Below are 19,073 nucleotides of genomic sequence, written 5' to 3'. Positions count from 1 at the left end.
ACATGGTCTTCCCTTTCTTCCAGCAATGTCTACTCTGGGTTAGGGTTGTTTGTGTGCTTTGACTACTACACTTCTAAGTTTTTTTCTTTCCCATCCAGTGAACAGCATACTCTTTATATGTGCACTGCCCTGGTTTCCAGCAAGGATACAGATTTTCCCCCTAATCTTCTCCTATCTTTGTTCATTTCAATCAGGAGTTAACACCTGTGTTCAAGCCTCTTAAGAGCAGGTGGCAATAGCCTAGTTTCCTTGCTGAGATGTGGCTAGAAAGTACTATCGCTGTGCTGGAACTCTTAAACCAAGAGATGTTGCTGCCAACTCACCCTGTAGTACAAGAATAGTTGATTCTGGATCCAACCTGGATGTCTGTGATCACATGCACCATGCCATTCACTGGATCTGGAGGAGTTTTACATGATTTACCTGTGGGAAAGAAAATGTTTTGGAGCCAGGTAGAGTAATCTGAACTCTCTTCAGTACGTAAGGTCTCAACCTGCATGTAGCTTCCTGAAGAAAACACGCGGCTCTGATGGTTCCACAGATTTTGGCACCTTGAGAAAACTCATCAGAGCGCTGAGGATCAGCCACCTACTAAGCCCCACTTTCAAAAAGACCTTCCCTCCAGATCTATCTAGATCTAGATTTAGATCTGTGTAGAGACCTTGCATCCCTTATCAAAATGTAAAGGTCATTTATGGCATTATTTACTATCAATATATTTCAAAGTTTGCAAAGGATTTCTTCCCACCTAGTTATTCAAACAGAATTTGTCTTCCTACACCATTTTTTTCCTGATCTAGTCATTTATTATTTTCTTTCCCATAGGGAATGAAGATTTTCTCTACAACTATTTCTTGAAACATTCTCATGAAGTTAACATTTCAAGCAACAATCAAGGATGCCTACAAGAAAAACTCTTACATCCATCTATCCGAACACTTTTCAGAAAAGGTTTCTCATATCCCACATTTGAAATAATTCCATAAGAAGCTTTTGCAGACATGGGAAAGATCCAACGCAAGTTTACGCACGTTTACAGACATCTTTGGGACTTGACCAGACCAGGTTATCTAGACATGTGATAGAGAATGGCCTCCCGTAGTACTCAGGACGGCATTCGTACTTTAAAGATGTCCCAATGGGAAAGTCAGATGCATTGGTTTGGGTTTTCAACTTGGCAAACAGAAAATGATCTGGGGCTTGACAGTGACCTAGAGACCAAGAAATCAAGAATATTTGAGTTAATAAAAAGATACCCAGTGTGTTTCCTCTTTTCTCTTCCTTGGTAGATTTGATGCCAGAAGAAAAGAAAATTTTAGTTATGAAAAAAAAAAAACTTCCCTGTAAAATAGAAAGGAAAGTTCCATTAGCATAGGCTTATAAGGAAGTATATTATTTGGAAGACTAGCCTGCTATCTGGTCTTTCTACTCATATAATTTATTTTTGTTTTTAAATTTTTTTTCTATTTTTAGTAGAGTTGGAGTTTCACTGTGTTTGCGGGCTGGTCTGGAACTCCTGACCTCTAGTGATCCACCAGCCTTGGCCTCCTAATGCCTATTTTTATTGTTTTTGAGATAGGGTCTCGCTCTGTCACCCAGGCTGGAGTGCAGTGGCACAATCTTGGCTCACTGCAACCTCTGCCTCCCAGGCTTAAGGGATACTCCCATCTCAGCCTCTCGAGTAGCTGGGACCACAGGCAATTGCCACCACGCTCAGCTAATGCTCATATAATTTAATGTAAAGATAGCTCCCATTTAATTTTTCACATTTTTAGGAAGCCAGAAAGAGTTTTTCTGCCCAGGTTCCACCTTTCCTGTCTGGTTTCCTTGTACTTCAAGTCATCAAAACTCCAATGAGAGGCTGTCAAGCATGGGCGGGAACTCAAGACGTTTCCTGGCAGAAGGAGCCACCGATTTTCTAGGTCAGATTTCTAAACCAAACATTTCAATAAGGAGATTCACAGGCATCTGTTTTTAATTCATATGATTCTAATGAAGGACTTTCCCACCACTCACCGCCTCCCTCTTTTTTCATCAGTCCCTCCATCTGCAAAGGTCATCAGGATCTTATGTGTTGACCTACCTTAGAACCATCTATCATTGGTTTGGCATTCCATTGTGGCAAATGCATACATACAAATAAATACTACACTGTAATTATGGAAATATGGAGGGGCTGGGTTAGATATTCTGAACCCATTAGGGATGTGGGGAAATGAGCACTAACCCAGAATTCCACAGCGAGGGGCAGGGCTGCTCCAAACCCCATTCCCTTGAGGGTCACTTGTGCAGCGGATGGTGCTCTCTCCAATGAGGTCGAAGCTCGTCCCTCTGTCTGGGTGGGGGTCGCATGTGTAATTTACTGCTTTTCCAAAGGGAAAGACTTCCAGAGGTTTTCCTGTGTGTCTCCCATTAGGAATAACTGGAGGACTTGGACAAAAGATTTCTAGAAAACATACAAAAGCTCTAAGTTTCATTCAGGAGTTTCACCAGAGGTATTCTGCAATTACAGGGTGCTATGATTGGTGTTGCTGAAAATATGCTAAGGAGATGACAGTAGACATTAGGACTTTGAAGAGTTGGATTAAATGAGATGTCAATGAAAATGTATTGCAAAGTACAAAAGAGATTTGTCTATCCTGAATCTTCCGGATAGTAACAGTTCCTGGACAGTAGAAACTTTACAACTTTAATGAAGTAGCAAAACATTTGAAGAAGAAAAATAACCATTTTGAAGGGTTATTTATTCATTTAGTCAATATATATTAATTGAGCACTTATCCTGTGTCAGCCCTTCATCAGGATCCTGGGGACACAGCGCTGAGGAAGGAGCCTACATTCTTAGGAAATATTTCTCAAATGTATATATGTGTGCTAATCATCTTAAATAGGTGAAACCTTTCACTGATTACTTATTGATATTGATCATCAATCTCAGTGATAACAATAGCCCTGTCACAGTGAATTGAAACATAGTCAGGCCATGATAAAAAAAAAAAAAAAACTCCAAATGGATTCAGATGGCTTTGCTTTTGAAAATGTCTAGGTCTGTTGATGATTTATTTTCTCTTTTTACTCTCTGGGTCAGGTTTCAAGTTGTTACTCCTTTCTAGCATCTAATGATTTGTTTAGAACAGTCTCTTCCTCATTTCTAATTGGCATTTTTCATTAGAACTGGCATTTGGAAGAAACTATTTTAACTAGCAAGAGTTATGAAAAATAAGAGAAAGCTTGAGTAGTCCAGTTAATGAGCTTTCATTCATGATAGTAGAACAGACACTTGTCATACTGCTTCAAGGAGCACTGGATTTCTTAGACAGCAAGAATCTCTATATAAGTTATGTTCTTCCAAAATTTTACTCTAAAAATCACTGTAAGATGTCCAAGTATATTTCTAACAACATAAACATTTTAGTAAAATTTCATGATTTTCTAAAGAAACACGTTTTCCAATCATTAGAATCAAGAATTGAAGCAAAGTTCTATCTTCCATTGGGGAAATTATACATGGGTAGACTAGGAGAAATCAGTAGTCTACTGATTATTGAACATATGAGGCTCATTTTAAAAAAATGACTTATTATTTATGAATCTCTCAGCATAAATTATTTAGGTACATGTTTTGAGAATTTAAGGAGTCTCAAACTGCTCACCCTGTCTAATGTTGCTCCCCATTTTTGCCTCATTCCTCAGTGCTTTGCTCTATTGTCTCATAGCATTGAATTTATTTTTTTTCTTGTCCCTCTCCCCACCTAAGTAGAAACAACATGGGGACAGGGAATTCATCCATCTTGTTCATTGATATAACTCCAGTGGCTAGATGAACATCAGGCACAAAGTATGTGATCAATAAATATTGATTAAATAAAGCCATGTTCAATATTTGTGTATTATCATATATATATAAATTGTAGACTGACTGCACTTTGATGGGAGAACAAAATGAAAAAGAAAGAAGGGAGGAAGGAAAGAAGAAAGGGGAGAAGGAGAGAAGAAGGGAAGAAAGAACTGAAGGATGGAAGGAAGAGAAAAAAGAAAGAAAAAACTAGAGAAAGAAAGAAAATTGTTAAAGCTTCACATTATCTAATCTCTCCTGACCTAGGAGCACAAGACCAAAGGATTTATCGCACTAGAACAGAGAATGCAGAAGGACAGAGACAGATCAGATGGTTGCAAAGACAGGTGATGTACATATTGATTCACAACCAAACATTATTAAAATAAACTATTTTTAAATCGATAATTAAGACTAGAATATTGAAGAATCACATTGAGGGAGGCCATAGGACAAATAGTGAACAGATGAAGGGGAGAGATTGGCCTGAAATGTTGCTCCTATTACTCACGTTCACACACTGGAACACTGCTATTCCAAAGGCTTTCCATTCCAGCCAAGACACAATAACTAGCAGAGCTGCCTTTTAATTGAAATCTAAAGAAGAAAATAGGAGTGAATAGTGAGCTGTTTCAGCCAAGAGGACACTTAGTTCACAATCTAAGGCCCAGCCCCAATTTCAGGATTTTGAGGATCTGAGGCCAGCAGATGGCAGAGTTGCACAGGCTACCTTATTCTGGAAAAATCACAGCCTCCAGAAGGGAACAATATAGAATGGCAAAATGTAGTAGCTTGGTCACATGATAGTCCTGCTTGAATTGAAAAAGGTGGTCATGACATAGGCGCCATCCCCTTGACCCAGGACCCAGGCTTGGAGTTTCACTGATTACTCCATGATAACCTGATAAATCACTCATTGTTGTTATTAGAAACCCAGTCTTCTAATGTAATGCCTTCCTAACTCTGACCCTGGAACAGCAAGTAAAACAGCTCCCAGTTTGGAGTGGAAAAGTGGGAAATAGCTGGCGAGAGAACAGAGATTGTCCTTTCATCTCCACATCTGTGATGGCGTGAAGAAGGCTCAAAAGGGCAGTTTGGGCTGCTGAAGAGTAAGCATGAATATTCTAGGGGAAAAAGGAAAGAAGAGAGGACATGATTTTTGTATGCAATTGTCGAAAATTCTCAGTCTTTTGGACCCTGATGCCCTCCTAACTCTTACTGGGTGCTGGCATTTGGAGGCTGCCAAGATTCTGTGTTACATTATGGGATCAGGTGCTTTGTTGCCCATGCCGGTCAGCTCCTGTGTAGAGATGTGCACGCTGTGAAGAGCACTAGATGGACATAAACAAGGTAATGACCTTGCTGGGAATATTAACAGCAGCCATCACGACCCCAGCTCAGAGCCCAGAGCCCATGACTAGCCAGAAGATATATGACTGAATTTTTAAAAAAATGCTGATTTTTACATTTTCAGTCCTATTACAAATTTCACTGTTGATGGTTTAAAGAATTTACTGAAATGATTCTTAAAGGATCCTAGCTTTTAATAATAAGCTTTTCATTACTTGCAATTTTTCCTGGGACTCTCTAAATTACTCATATTCCCTTTTGCTTGTAAAATATGATTTTTTTCCTGAGATGGAGTTTCACTCATTGTTCACGCTGGAGTGCAATGGTGCCATCTCGGCTCACTGCAAACTCCACCTCCCAGGTTCAAGTGATTCTGGTGCCTCAGCCTCCGGAGTAGCTGGGATTACAGGCACATGCCACCAAACCCAGCTAACTTTTGTATTTTTAGTAGAGACAGGGTTTCACCATGTTGTCCAGGCTGGTCTCCAACTCCTGACCTCAGGTGATCTGCCTGCCTCAACCTCCCAAAGGTGCTGGGATTACACACGTGAGCCACCGTGCCTGGCTGATATTTTTTGCTTAATGTGTTACCTATATATTCATAACCACTAGTTATACTTGCCTTTGAACTTGCCAGTTAATATATGTTCCAGTTTCCTCTTCATATCTCATGTTATTAGTTCTATATGTTTCTTTCCTTTCTTCCTAGGTATACTTTCGAAAGTTCATCTCTCTGAAGGTGTGTGTGTGTGTGTGTGTCTTTCTTTTAAGCCACACCAAATCTCCCCTTTTTAGACTGATTCCCAACCCCAATTTCAATGTCCAGCAGGTCAGGCAAGCTCATACTCACCCTTCATCACAAACAAAATCCACTTTTGCTCCAAGCTGGAGATTTACTGGAAATAGCACACGGCCATTAAGAAGTTGGCCCATGAAGTCATCACAGGATTTCACTGGAGATAAAGAAAAACGAACAGAAATCACTGGCATGTGGAGAATAAAGACGCAAGCTAAAAATATCAAGCCAGATAAGAGTCTAGTCACCTTCACATGTGGGGGCTGCAGGGCTCCAGTCTCCCTGGGGTGTGCAGCGCATAGACGCAGCCCCTCTGAGGTCATAGCCGGGCTCACAGCTGTAGAACACTTCCTGCCCGGGTGAAAAGTTGTCCTTGTCCCTTTGGGTACGCTCAGCATGCAGGACATCTGGAGGTGGCTGACATACTGGGGAGAGAGAAACAAAGTACAGCTAATTGTGTGAAAACAACTTTTTTCTCACTGTTAAACTGGCCAAGGGAATAATAATTACGAATCTATATATAATAATAAAGTTAGAATAACAGCCTTATTACATTGATAAACTAAATACACGGGGCAAGGAAGATGTCTTGCCATCAGTCATAGAACTGACACATGGCACAACTGTGACTAAAACAGAGGTATCTCCAATTCATTGTTTTTCATCTAAAGTATGCAACTAAGATTTCACAATGGACAGTTCCTTCTAGAATGCTTCCAATTACTGTTCACCCAGTACAAAATTGGGAGGAATGATGGATTTTTGTATCTTCATACTTCCTTTCTAGAAAGGCATCACCAATTTAGTCTTGCATTTTAAGCAATAAAGGAGTGCCCCTGCCCATGTCCCATCTAATAGGTCCCTCCATCACCTATCACACTGGTGCAACAAAGAGCGTCCATACATCTATGCTCATCTCCTTTCAAGTCTTCTCTCAGCGGCCACCTGACATAGGGTGGTAAAGAACTATGGGTCTCCTCTCTTCATGCTATGTAGCAGGTGCTGCCTAGTCATTCATTTCACTTCAGTGAGAAGGTGGGAAACTGTCGAACAAAATCTGAAAGACCTACTGTCACCATAATGAGAGTGTAATTTCACACAACATATTGTAACGGCATCTCAGGCTCTCTCTTAATGTAGTTGATCTGATCTTGGGAAATCAAAACACATTTGGATCTCAAATAAATTACATAAAACTGTTATAAAATGGAAAAAGTAATTTCAGTTTGTCTTTGAGCAGATCAGTTCCCTTTTCTGGACTTCAGCTTTCTCAAGCATCAAATGGGGGATTGGAATAGAAAAATGACTTCTTTAAGGAGTTTGTAAATACTCTGATGCTGTAATGTCCATTTTCAGGGCTCATCACCCAGTGTTTCCCTGGACTAATCAATGCCTGGTGATGTAATATTGAGGTGCTGTGCTGGTTAAATTTCTGTTGGCCCCCAGCCTCACACTTCTGCACTGTCTTTTGACAGCTAACAATGGAGGCCTTAAAAATAAATCGTTCATCTTCCTTGATAGCTAGGCTCTGGTTAGGTTCTGCCAATTGGAGGCATATATACCAAATTAAAAAGCAGGATGATGGCAGAATCTGTTCTACTTCTAGAAGTGGCTCAGGCAGTGGCAGTATAGATGGCTTCAGTGAGTAGCTACAGCTTCAATTGTAACGATGCCAATGACTTTGGCTCCAGCAATATCAGCTGCATTCTGGCAGCAATGGTGGCTCCTGCAGTATTAGCAGCTTACAGGGAGCTGCCTGCTCAGTGGGAGGGGCTGGCCATTTCACCATCACTCCAGGCTCCTGTGCTGTAGACTGGGAGCCACAGCAGCTCCCTGATCTCTCGTAACTTTGCCTTTGTCCTATTGCTTTTCCTGCCCTTCTAACATTTTTGTGACCTATTAGCTGCGATATGGTTTGGCTCTATGTCCCCTCCCAAATCTCATGTCAAATGGTAATTCCCAGTGTTGGAGAAGGAGCCTGGTGGGAGGTGACTGGATCATGGAGGTGGTTTCTAATGGTTGAGCACCATCACCCTAGTGCTGTCTTGTGATAGAGTTCTGTCAAGATCTGCTTGTTTCAAAGTCTGTAACACCTCTGCCTTGCTCTCTCTCTCTCTCCTGCCAAGCATATGAAGATATGCGTGCTTCCTCTTTGCCTTCCACCATGATTGTAACTTTCCCAGCCATGCCTCCTGTACAGCCTACAGAACTCTGAGTCAATTAAACATCTTTTCTTTATAAATTACCCAGGCTCAAGTAGTTTTTTATAGGAATGTGAGAACAGACTAATACAACCTGCATGAAATCCCTCCCTCCTTGAAAGTATCTAGAGTAAGTTTTGATTTCATGACTGAATGCTGATGAGCAAAGCCAAGGCTCTGGAGTGAGGTGGACTTGCAATCCAGTTTTGTCTGCAAGTTACTGTCTCAGAATGTTATCTGATGTGTCTAAGGCACATATTCTCTGTAAAACATAGAGGCCGGGCACAGTGGCTCATGCCTATAATCCCAGCACTTTGGGAGCCCAAGGTGGGTGGGTGCTTGAGCTGAGGAGTTTGAGACCAGCCTGGGCAGCATGGTGAGACTCTGTCCCTACAAAAAAAATATAAAAAACTTAGCCAGGCATGGTGGCATGCACCTACATTCCCAGCTACTTGGGAGGCTCAGGCAGGAGACTTGCTTGAGTCAGGGAGGTGGAGGGTGAAGTATGCCATGATGGCACCACTGCAGTCCAACCTGAGTGACAGATCAAGACAGTATCTCAAGCAAAACAAAACAGACAAACATAGAACAACTGGGAACTACCTAATAACTTTGTTTTCAGGATTAAAATTCACATGTAGCCTGTATTATAGTGCCTGGGCAGAGGAATCACTCATTTTGTATCAAACATTATTATACTCAAAGGTAATTGATAGATCTGTTTATAAGAACCCCAAAGAAACATCATATCCCTTGCCCAGGTTGAGCTTTGCTTCTCAATTTCAGCACATGTACATGTCTACACACCTGAATTTCATGTTCACTACTTAGAAAATTTGCTCCTCGACCCTGCTCAGCACACATCCCTCCCCGTGAACAAATACTAATCTCCTGATCCAACAGCAACGCATGTCACTTGCAGGGCCCTACTAGGCCTCAGTCAGACTCACCCCTGGAGCAGCTTGGTAGCTCCGGCTCCCATTTGTTCAGGGCCTGGCACTTCACACGGCGGGGTCCTTTCATGACAAAGCCAGGCTGACACCTAAACTCCACAACTTCATTTAAGGAAAATAAGCTTCTGTTGTCAGATACCAATATTCCATTTTCCACATTTGGAGGCGTGCATTTGTTAGGTATAATGCACTGAGGGGCCGGGCCGCTCCAGATGCCCACTTGATCGTCATTGCTGGTGCAGTATATGGAGGGCTCACCCACAAGCTCAAACACCTTTCTCCCTCCGCTTCCAGGATTGCAGCGGTAGGTCACCACTGATCCATAGTGAAAATTCTCTCTGTTGGTGCTAATGAAATCTCCATTGGCGATGGTGGGGGGTAGCCCACAAGGAATTCCTGGAAAAAGGGACAGCAAGTTAACCAAAACAAAACCTTGGGACAGAGTCTTGCTCTGTCACCCAGGCTGGAGTGTAGTGGCACGATCATGGCTCACTGCAACCTCCACTTCCCAGGTCAAGCAATCCTCCTACCTCAACTTCCCGAGTAGCTGGGATCACAGGCATGCACTACCATGTCTGGTTTATTTTTGTATTTTTAGTAGAGATGGGGTTTGGCCATGTTGGGCAGGCTAGTCTTGAACTCCTGGCCTCAAGCAATCTGCATGCCTCTGCTTTTCAAAGTGCTGGGATTATAAGCGTGAGCCACCACGCCTAGCCTGGTTTGTTAAAATCATACTTTATTGTAAATTTTCCCAAAAGTTTTTTTTTTAATTCCAAATTACCAGAAGTAAATATTGAAAATACTATTCTCATCTACTATTTGCTAATGTACAGACATGTTCTTACAGTTTTAAAATATTATAAGTTCTGCTCTACTCAGTTAAGTTTATTTCACTAAATGTGTCCATGTATTATTAGAGTCCACTTTTTTTTTTTTTTTTTAACAGATCCTCACTCTGTTCCCCAGGCTGGAGTGCAGTGGCGTGATCTTGGCTCACTGCAGCCCTTGCCTCCCAGGTTCAAGCGATTTTCCTGCCTCAGCCTCCTGAGTAGCTGGGATTTCAGGCATGCGCCACCAAACTCGGCTAACTTTTGTATTTTTAGTAGAGGCGGGGTTTCATTATGTTGGCCAGGGTGGTCTCAAACTACTGACCTCAAGTGATCTGCCCACCTCAGCCTCCTAATGTGCTGGGATTACAGGTATGAGCCACTGTGCCTAGCCTATAGTCTATGTTTTTATTTCTCCTGCTAAATGAGAATTTAACTGTTATCTCACCATTATTAATTTAGTTCTCTCTATATAGAAGGCATGTGTCTTTATTCTATTGGATATTAATATAATAAAGCATACAGCATAGCATTTTTTTTGAGACAAGGTCTTGCTCTGCTGCCCAGACTGGAGTGCAGTGGCACGATCATGGCTCATTGCAGCCTCGACCTCTCTGGCTCAAGCAATCCTCCCACCTCTCAGTCTCCTGAGTAGTTGGGACTACAGGCATGTGCCACCATGCCCGTATAGTTTTTGTATTTTTGTAGAGACAGCGTTTCAGTATGTTGTACAGGCTGGTCTCAAACTCCTGGACTCAAGCCATCTGCTCACCTAGGCCTCCCAAAGTGCTGGGATTACACGTTTGAGTCACCACATGTGGCTCAGTATAACATCTTTATTAAATAATAAGAACAAAAGCTCTGGAAGAACTAACAAAGACAAAGTACAAATATACAATATTACATATAATAAACATGATACTTACAGATTCAGAAATAATAAAAAGAACTGGATACTGATCTACAACCATACCACCCTAAATGCGCCCAATCTCGTCTGATCTTGGAAGAACTGAATACTGTGTCCTACTCTACCGTAGGGCAGTGCCCAGCCAGTTTATTGGCCTTCTACAAAGTTTGTTCCCACTTATCCTCCCACCAACTGGGTTTGAAATTGCTGATTTCCTCACACCATCACTAAACCCAGGATTATACACATTTTATATTCCTTGTTAGCTTGCAATTGCTCATTCGTCTTTGCTCCCCAAAATGTAGAAAGCTCATCTTCCAAACAACTCACAGGGAAGATGGCATGATCCTGTTTAGACAAAGAATAAGAAGGAAGAAAGAGCTGCATGGCTTGAATATCTGATGTGATACTAAGAGCTTGCAGAGAGGATATGGGGTTTCTTTCACTGACTTTGTATTTGTTGACTTCACTAAATAAAATGCTCTTTAAACTGGGAGGTGTTCACCCAACAGAGGATGAAATTGGGGGACTGTTTAAGTGAGCTAAAGACTAGTTTAAAAAAAATTAGACCTTGAGATAAGAAAAAATAAAAAAGCATTTCTAGCTGAAGGTGGAAGTTTGGAATGCTGTGAGCCATTTTAAGGATATGACTGGATTCTTCAAATATGAGAAGGATACCATTTCCAAGAGGGATGAGATCCATTCTTTGTAATTCTAGGAGGACAACTCTAGGATTAAACGGTGGGGTGAATGGGGAAAGAGATTTCAACTCACGTTGACAAATTGGCGGCTTCGTGCTCCAATGGGCAGCATTGCCCGAGAGGATACATTCAGCAGATGAGTGACCAATGAGTCGGTGCCTAAAGGCAAAAAATGGAAAATAAATTGTGCTGTACATACCTCATCAACTTCCTGACAGCATGCATATGTGGCAAACCAGAGGGATTACAATGCAGGAGAAGTCTAAGGCCTAGCCTAAACTTTACCTATTGTTCCCAGCTTTTCTACTTCTTTTTCCTATTCTCTCACTATTGAAAGAGATATTTCTGCTCTAATTTCTCCTGGCCCACTTTGCTTCTTAATATCTTCGCTTCATTGCGGACTGTAACTGGCACCAAAATAAAACAATTATTTTGCAGACCTGTTTGACAATTTTTTTTCTTAAATTCTATCTTTCTCTAAATATTATTTCTGCCATTTTTTGTCTGCATTTTCCCTTAATGTGTGTGTGTGTGTGTATGTGTGTGTGTGTGTATAATACTATGTCATTTTACTTGAGACATGTTTTTTATAAATACAAGATATGTTGCTTTTGATCCTGTCTAGGAGAATTTGTCTTTCAACAAGAAGATTAAACCAAACGTATTGAGGTAAATGATACATTTGATTAGCTTTCATCATCATTCTTTCACTGCCTTTTCATTGATTTCATGATGCCTAATGATGAGGATGTGGAGAAAGCAATGAATAAAGTGACCTGACCCAAACATGAGGGAGCTTATTTCTGGTGGAAGAGAAAAATGGATTCCTTGCTATTCCTTTTCCTTCCCCCTCAATTACTATATGGAACAGATAGATTCAACTGTTTTAGTCATTCTAATAATTTGGAAATTAAACTTAATATTTTTTCCAGTGAGGAATTTCATTTTATATGTGTGCATGTATATTATACATATACACGTGACACATATTTAAACCTCTTTTCTCAATTTTAGAGTCAAACTCTATATAGTCAGTCTACTCATCTTTTCTGTAATGTAAGTCTAGCCTATCTTTTCTTGCTGTCTCACATTTTCTAGTTTTATTGATATATTCTATGAGTTTAGAGAGATTATTAATAAATTATTATTACATTGCCAAGATTTTGTGTGTATGTTTTTTTTATTGTTGTTTTTTCTTTTTACCTACATCCTATCTCATTGAGATTTCCTTTGGAATTCATCATTCTCCTTTTTAAAAATTTGCTTATGAATTGCCTGGGAAACATACTTAAATGGTACAATTTTTGTGTCTTTGCTTATCCTTTAATGTGTACCTGGAGCCTCTAGGTGTGCATATTAGCTTGGCTCAAGAGAAGTGCTATCTTCTACAATTTAGTGTTATACAATATATCTTATACAATATAGAATCAATGTGGTGTCAATAAATTTATTTCTTTTGCGGGTATTATATTTTCACATTTTATTTCTGGAATCAGAGTTTTTTTCTCTATCCCTGAAACACAGAAGTTTCCCTAGTGATGGCTAGGTATGGGCTTATTTGCTTACCCTTCTGGAATTTTTGCTACATGTATTTTGAATCCTGACACTGTGTTACATATGTCTTCTCTTTTTCCTTTTTTGAGACAGGGTCTCATTCTGTCATCCAGGCTGGAGTGCAGGGTTGCCATCAAGGCTCACTGAAGCCTCAGCCTCCTGGGCTCAGGTGATCCTCCCACTTCATTCTCCTGCCTAGCTGTGACTACAGTCACATGCTGCCATGCCCAGCTAATTTTTATACTTTTTTGTAGAGATGGGTTTTTGCCATGTTGTCCAGGCTGGTCTTGAGCTCCTGGGCTCAAGTGATCCTCTTGCCCCGGCCTCTCAATATGTTGGGATTACATGTGTGAGCCACTGTGCTTGCCTGTCTTCTCCTTTTCATCTTTTCCCACTGCATTCAGGGAACATTTGGTTAACTCTTCTTACTCTTTGCTTTAATTTTCTGCAATATTCATTGTGATATATATATATATATATATATATATATATATGATATAGATCACATGTATGAAATGAAATATATAAACACACTGAATACATATATTCATTCATGTACACACTTCATGGCTAGTTTCACAGAAGTATTTGTACAATTGAATCTTGTTACAAATATGAAAAGGAGAGTGTTCTGAAAGTTTCCCTGGTTTCTTGGCAGTAAATCTCTTTTGTAAAATTTCTCCTGATTTTTCAGACTGGTCTCTTTTACATGTATTTCCTGTTTCTTCTCATAAGCTCAATGGTTTTCTGCTTCATGCCATAGAGAGGTTCCTCACTTATTCAGCAATGCAAGATGAGTAGGGTACAGTCAGGAAATTTACCAATTGTATTTAAAAATGCTTAAAAAAAGAGAGAAAAGGAGACATCGGATTTATTCTAATTTTTGTCAGATTCTAGGTGTTGTGGTCTGTGAGGCCTATGCTGGCAAATGTGCTGGACACCACAAACTTCCTTTCAGTGTCTGCTGTGGTGACACAAACGTAACTCGTATTCGCTACCTGGCTTAGCTGTTCCCATGAAGAATGAGATTGAGGCAGAGCCTCCACCGTGTGCTGAGCAAGGGTGAGCACCAACAGCTGGACCGTGTGCTGTGAGCACCTGATGCCTGACATTTTCAAAGGGGCTCTGTTATAGGTTGAATTGTGTCTCCCCTGAGTATGCTGAAGTCTTAACCTCCAGTCCCTGTGGATGTGACCTTATTTGGAAATACGATCTTTGCAGACGCAATCAAGTTAAGGTGAGGTCATGAAGGTAGGCCCTAATCCAGTGTGACTGGTGTCCTTATTAAAAGGGAAAACTTTGGAAACAGACATGCACAGAGAGAACAGCATATGAGGACACAGACCCAGAGGGAAGATGGCCATATGAGGACAGAGACAGAAATTGGAGTTCTGCTGCCACATGCCAAGGAAGGCCTGTGGCTCCAGAAGCTGGAAGATGCAATGAAGGATCCTTCCCTACAGGATTCAGAGGGAGCGTGGCCCTCCCAAAACCTTGATTTTGGATTTCCAGTCTCTAGAATGGAACTCCAAAAACTTCTGTTGTATTAAGCCGCCCACTTCGTGTTACAGACATTCCTCAAATATATTGCAGGTTCAGTTCCAGACCACCACAATAAAACACATATCACAACAAATGAGTCAGATGAATTTTTTGATTTCTCAGTGAGTCTAAAAGTTGTGTTTATACTATACGGTAGTCTATTAAGTGTGAAATAGCATTATGTCTAAACAAAGTCATACTTTAAAAAAAGGTTTATTGATAAGAAAATACTAAAGATTATCTGACCTTCAATAATTTGTAATCTTTTTGTTGGTGGAGGGTCTTGCCTCAAGGTTGATGGCTGCTGACTGATCAGGGTGGTGGTTGCTGAAGGCTGGGGTGGCTGTGGCAATTTCTTAAGCTGAGACAGCAATAAAATTGCTGTATTGATGGACTCTTCCTTTCACAAAAGATTTTTCTAGCATGCAATGCTGTTTGATAACATTTTACCCTCTGAACTGCTTTCAAAATTGGAGTTAATCCTCCCGATACTGCTGCTGCTTTATCACCTAAGTTTTTGTAATATTCTGTATCCTTTGTGGTCATTTTCACAATGCTCATGTCATCATCACCAGGAAGACACTCCACCTCAAAAAAACCACTTTCTCTGCTGATTCATGAGAAGCAACTCCTCATCTGTTCAAGTTTGATCATGAATTTGTCGCAATTCAGTCACGTCTTCAGGCTCCACTTCTAATTGTAGTTCTCTTGCGATTTTCACCACATCTTCAGTTATTTCCTCCGCTGAAGTCTTGAACCTCTCAAAGTCAGCCATGAGGGTTGGAATTAACTTCTACCAAACTCCTATTAATGTTGATATTTTAAGCTCTTCCCATGAATCACGAATGTTCTTAATGGTATGTAGAATGATGAATTCTTTCCAGCAGTTTTCAACTTATTTTGTTCAGATCCATCAGAGGAATTACTGTCTGTGGGGACTCACCTTACAAAATGTATTTCTTAAATAGTGAAACTTGAAAGTCAAAATTACTCCTTCAGCCATGGGCTGCAGAATGGCTGCCGTTGTTAGCAGGCAGGAAAACTCCATTCATCTCCATGTCCATCTCCATTAGAGCTCTTGGCTGCTTAGGTGCAATGTCAATGAGCAGTAATATTTTGAAAGGAATCTGTTTTTCTGAGCACTAGATCTCAACAGTGGGCTTAAAATATTCAGTAAACTATGCCGCAAACATACCTCTGTCATCAGGCTTTGTTCTTCCATTTATAGACACAGGCAAGGTATATTTAACTTAATGCTTAAGGGCCCTAGGATTTTTAGAATGGTCGGTGAACATTGGCTTCAACTCAAAGTCACCAGCGGCATTAGCTCCTAAAAAGTCAGCCTGTTCTTTGAAGCTTTGAACCCAGGTATTGGCTTCTCCTCTCTAGCTATGAAAGTCCAATAGATGGCTGTTTTGTCTACATGGAAAATCTGTTATTTAGTGTAACACCTTCGTCAGTGATCTTAGCTAGATTTTCTAGATAACTTGCTGCAACTTCTATATGAGCACTGGCTGCTTCACCTTGGACCTTTATGTTATGGAGAGGGCTTCTTTCCTTAAACCTCAGGAACCAAATTCTGCTAGCTTCCAGCTTCTGTCAGCCTTCACAGAATTGAAGAGAGTTACGGCCTTGCTCAGGATTACGCTTTGGCTTCAGGAAATGTTTCTAGTTTGATCTTATATCTAGACCACTAAAACTTCTTCCATATCAGCAATAAGGCTGTTTTACCTTCTTATCATACATGTGTTCACTGGAAGAGCATTTTAAATTTCCTTCAAGTATTTTTACTTTGCCTTTACAACTTTCTAGCTGTTTGGCACATGAGGAATGGCTTTTGGCCTATCTTGGTTTTCAACGTATCTTCCTCAGTAAGCTTAATCATCTCTAGCTTTTGATTTAAAGTAAGAGATGCATGACTCTTCCCTTCATGTCAACACTTAAAGGCTATTGTAGGGTTATTAATTGGAGTCATTTTAGTATTATTGTGTCTCAGGGATTAGGGAGTCCTGAAGAGAGGGAGACAGAAGGGGAATGTCTAGTCCATGGAGCAGTCAAAGCACGCACATTTATTGATTAAGTTTTCTGTCTTATATGGGTGCAGTTCGTAGGGACCCCAAACAATGACAATAGTAACATCAAAGATCACTGATGACAGATCACTATCACAGACATGATAATAATGAAAACATCTGGGATACTGTGAGAATAATCAAAATGCTACACAGAGACACGAAGTCAACACACGCTGTTGGATAAATGATGCCGACGAACATGCTTACACAGCGTTCCCACAAGCGTTCAATTTGTAAAAAGCATAACATCTGCGAAGTACAATAAAACGAGGAAGGCCTGTACTTTTTGATGGCAGCCCTAGCAAGGGATCATGCTGTTATCATTAAGATTCATTCTCTCACACAGCTGCTACATGGTCTTCCCTTTCTTCCAGCAATGTCTACTCTGGGTTAGGGTTGTTTGTGTGCTTTGACTACTACACTTCTAATTTTTTTTCTTTCCCATCCAGTGAACAGCATACTCTTTATATGTGCACTGCCCTGGTTTCCAGCAAGGATACAGATTTTCCCCCTAATCTTCTCCTATCTTTGTTCATTTCAATCAGGAGTTAACACCTGTGTTCAAGCCTCTTAAGAGCAGGTGGCAATAGCCTAGTTTCCTTGCTGAGATGTGGCTAGAAAGTACTATCGCTGTGCTGGAACTCTTAAACCAAGAGATGTTGCTGCCAACTCACCCTGTAGTACAAGAATAGTTGATTCTGGATCCAACCTGGATGTCTGTGATCACATGCACCATGCCATTCACTGGATCTGGAGGAGTTTTACATGATTTACCTGTGGGAAAGAAAATGTTTTGGAGCCAGGTAGAGTAATCTGAACTCTCTTCAGTACGTAAGGTCTCAACCTGCATGTAGCTTCCTGAAGAAAACACGCGGTTCTGATGGTTCCACAGATTTTGGCACCTTGAGAAAACTCATCAGAGCGCTGAGGATCAGCCACCTACTAAGCCCCACTTTCAAAAAGACCTTCCCTCCAGATCTATCTAGATCTAGATTTAGATCTGTGTAGAGACCTTGCATCCCTTATCAAAATGTAAAGGTCATTTATGGCATTATTTACTATCAATATATTTCAAAGTTTGCAAAGGATTTCTTCCCACCTAGTTATTCAAACAGAATTTGTCTTCCTACACCATTTTTTTCCTGATCTAGTCATTTATTATTTTCTTTCCCATAGGGAATGAAGATTTTCTCTACAACTATTTCTTGAAACATTCTCATGAAGTTAACATTTCAAGCAACAATCAAGGATGCCTACAAGAAAAACTCTTACATCCATCTATCCGAACACTTTTCAGAAAAGGTTTCTCATATCCCACATTTGAAATAATTCCATAAGAAGCTTTTGCAGACATGGGAAAGATCCAACGCAAGTTTACGCACGTTTACAGACATCTTTGGGACTTGACCAGACCAGGTTATCTAGACATGTGATAGAGAATGGCCTCCCGTAGTACTCAGGACGGCATTCGTACTTTAAAGATGTCCCAATGGGAAAGTCAGATGCATTGGTTTGGGTTTTCAACTTGGCAAACAGAAAATGATCTGGGGCTTGACAGTGACCTAGAGACCAAGAAATCAAGAATATTTGAGTTAATAAAAAGATACCCAGTGTGTTTCCTCTTTTCTCTTCCTTGGTAGATTTGATGCCAGAAGAAAAGAAAATTTTAGTTATGAAAAAAAAAAAACTTCCCTGTAAAATAGAAAGGAAAGTTCCATTAGCATAGGCTTATAAGGAAGTATATTATTTGGAAGACTAGCCTGCTATCTGGTCTTTCTACTCATATAATTTATTTTTGTTTTTAAATTTTTTTTCTATTTTTAGTAGAGTTGGAGTTTCACTGTGTTTGCGGGCTGGTCTGGAACTCCTGACCTCTAGTGATCCACCAGCCTTGGCCTCCTAATGCCTATTTTTATTGTTTTTGAGATAGGGTCTCGCTCTGTCACCCAGGCTGGAGTGCAGTGGCACAATCTTGGCTCACTGCAACCTCTGCCTCCCAGGCTTAAGGGATACTCCCATCTCAGCCTCTCGAGTAGCTGGGACCACAGGCAATTGCCACCACGCTCAGCTAATGCTCATATAATTTAATGTAAAGATAGCTCCCATTTAATTTTTCACATTTTTAGGAAGCCAGAAAGAGTTTTTCTGCCCAGGTTCCACCTTTCCTGTCTGGTTTCCTTGTACTTCAAGTCATCAAAACTCCAATGAGAGGCTGTCAAGCATGGGCGGGAACTCAAGACGTTTCCTGGCAGAAGGAGCCACCGATTTTCTAGGTCAGATTTCTAAACCAAACATTTCAATAAGGAGATTCACAGGCATCTGTTTTTAA

At 40.6% G+C, this 19,073-nt stretch overlaps 1 protein-coding gene across 1 annotated transcript in view; it reads right to left on the bottom strand.

Annotated features, from left to right (window-relative positions):
* The window catches only part of CR1 (complement C3b/C4b receptor 1 (Knops blood group)), a 145,609-nt gene that overhangs the window by 71,496 nt on the left and 55,040 nt on the right, over nucleotides 1-19,073 (bottom strand). Inside the window, exons 18-27 of the mRNA NM_000651.6 lie at nucleotides 18,127-18,306; nucleotides 17,419-17,518; nucleotides 11,647-11,732; nucleotides 9,133-9,531; nucleotides 6,230-6,406; nucleotides 6,036-6,138; nucleotides 4,347-4,432; nucleotides 2,228-2,446; nucleotides 1,032-1,211; nucleotides 324-423 (exon numbers count right to left, since the gene is read on the bottom strand). Of these exons, the coding sequence (NP_000642.3) occupies nucleotides 324-423; nucleotides 1,032-1,211; nucleotides 2,228-2,446; nucleotides 4,347-4,432; nucleotides 6,036-6,138; nucleotides 6,230-6,406; nucleotides 9,133-9,531; nucleotides 11,647-11,732; nucleotides 17,419-17,518; nucleotides 18,127-18,306 (1,630 nt within the window). The remainder of the gene's footprint in view (nucleotides 1-323; nucleotides 424-1,031; nucleotides 1,212-2,227; nucleotides 2,447-4,346; nucleotides 4,433-6,035; nucleotides 6,139-6,229; nucleotides 6,407-9,132; nucleotides 9,532-11,646; nucleotides 11,733-17,418; nucleotides 17,519-18,126; nucleotides 18,307-19,073) is intronic.

This window comes from Homo sapiens, chromosome 1 (genome assembly GCF_000001405.40).
Source record: "Homo sapiens chromosome 1, GRCh38.p14 Primary Assembly".
Lineage (NCBI taxonomy): Eukaryota > Metazoa > Chordata > Mammalia > Primates > Hominidae > Homo > Homo sapiens.
The sequence above is the reverse complement of the archived record's forward strand: the minus strand, read 5'-3'. Positions and strand labels throughout refer to the sequence as shown.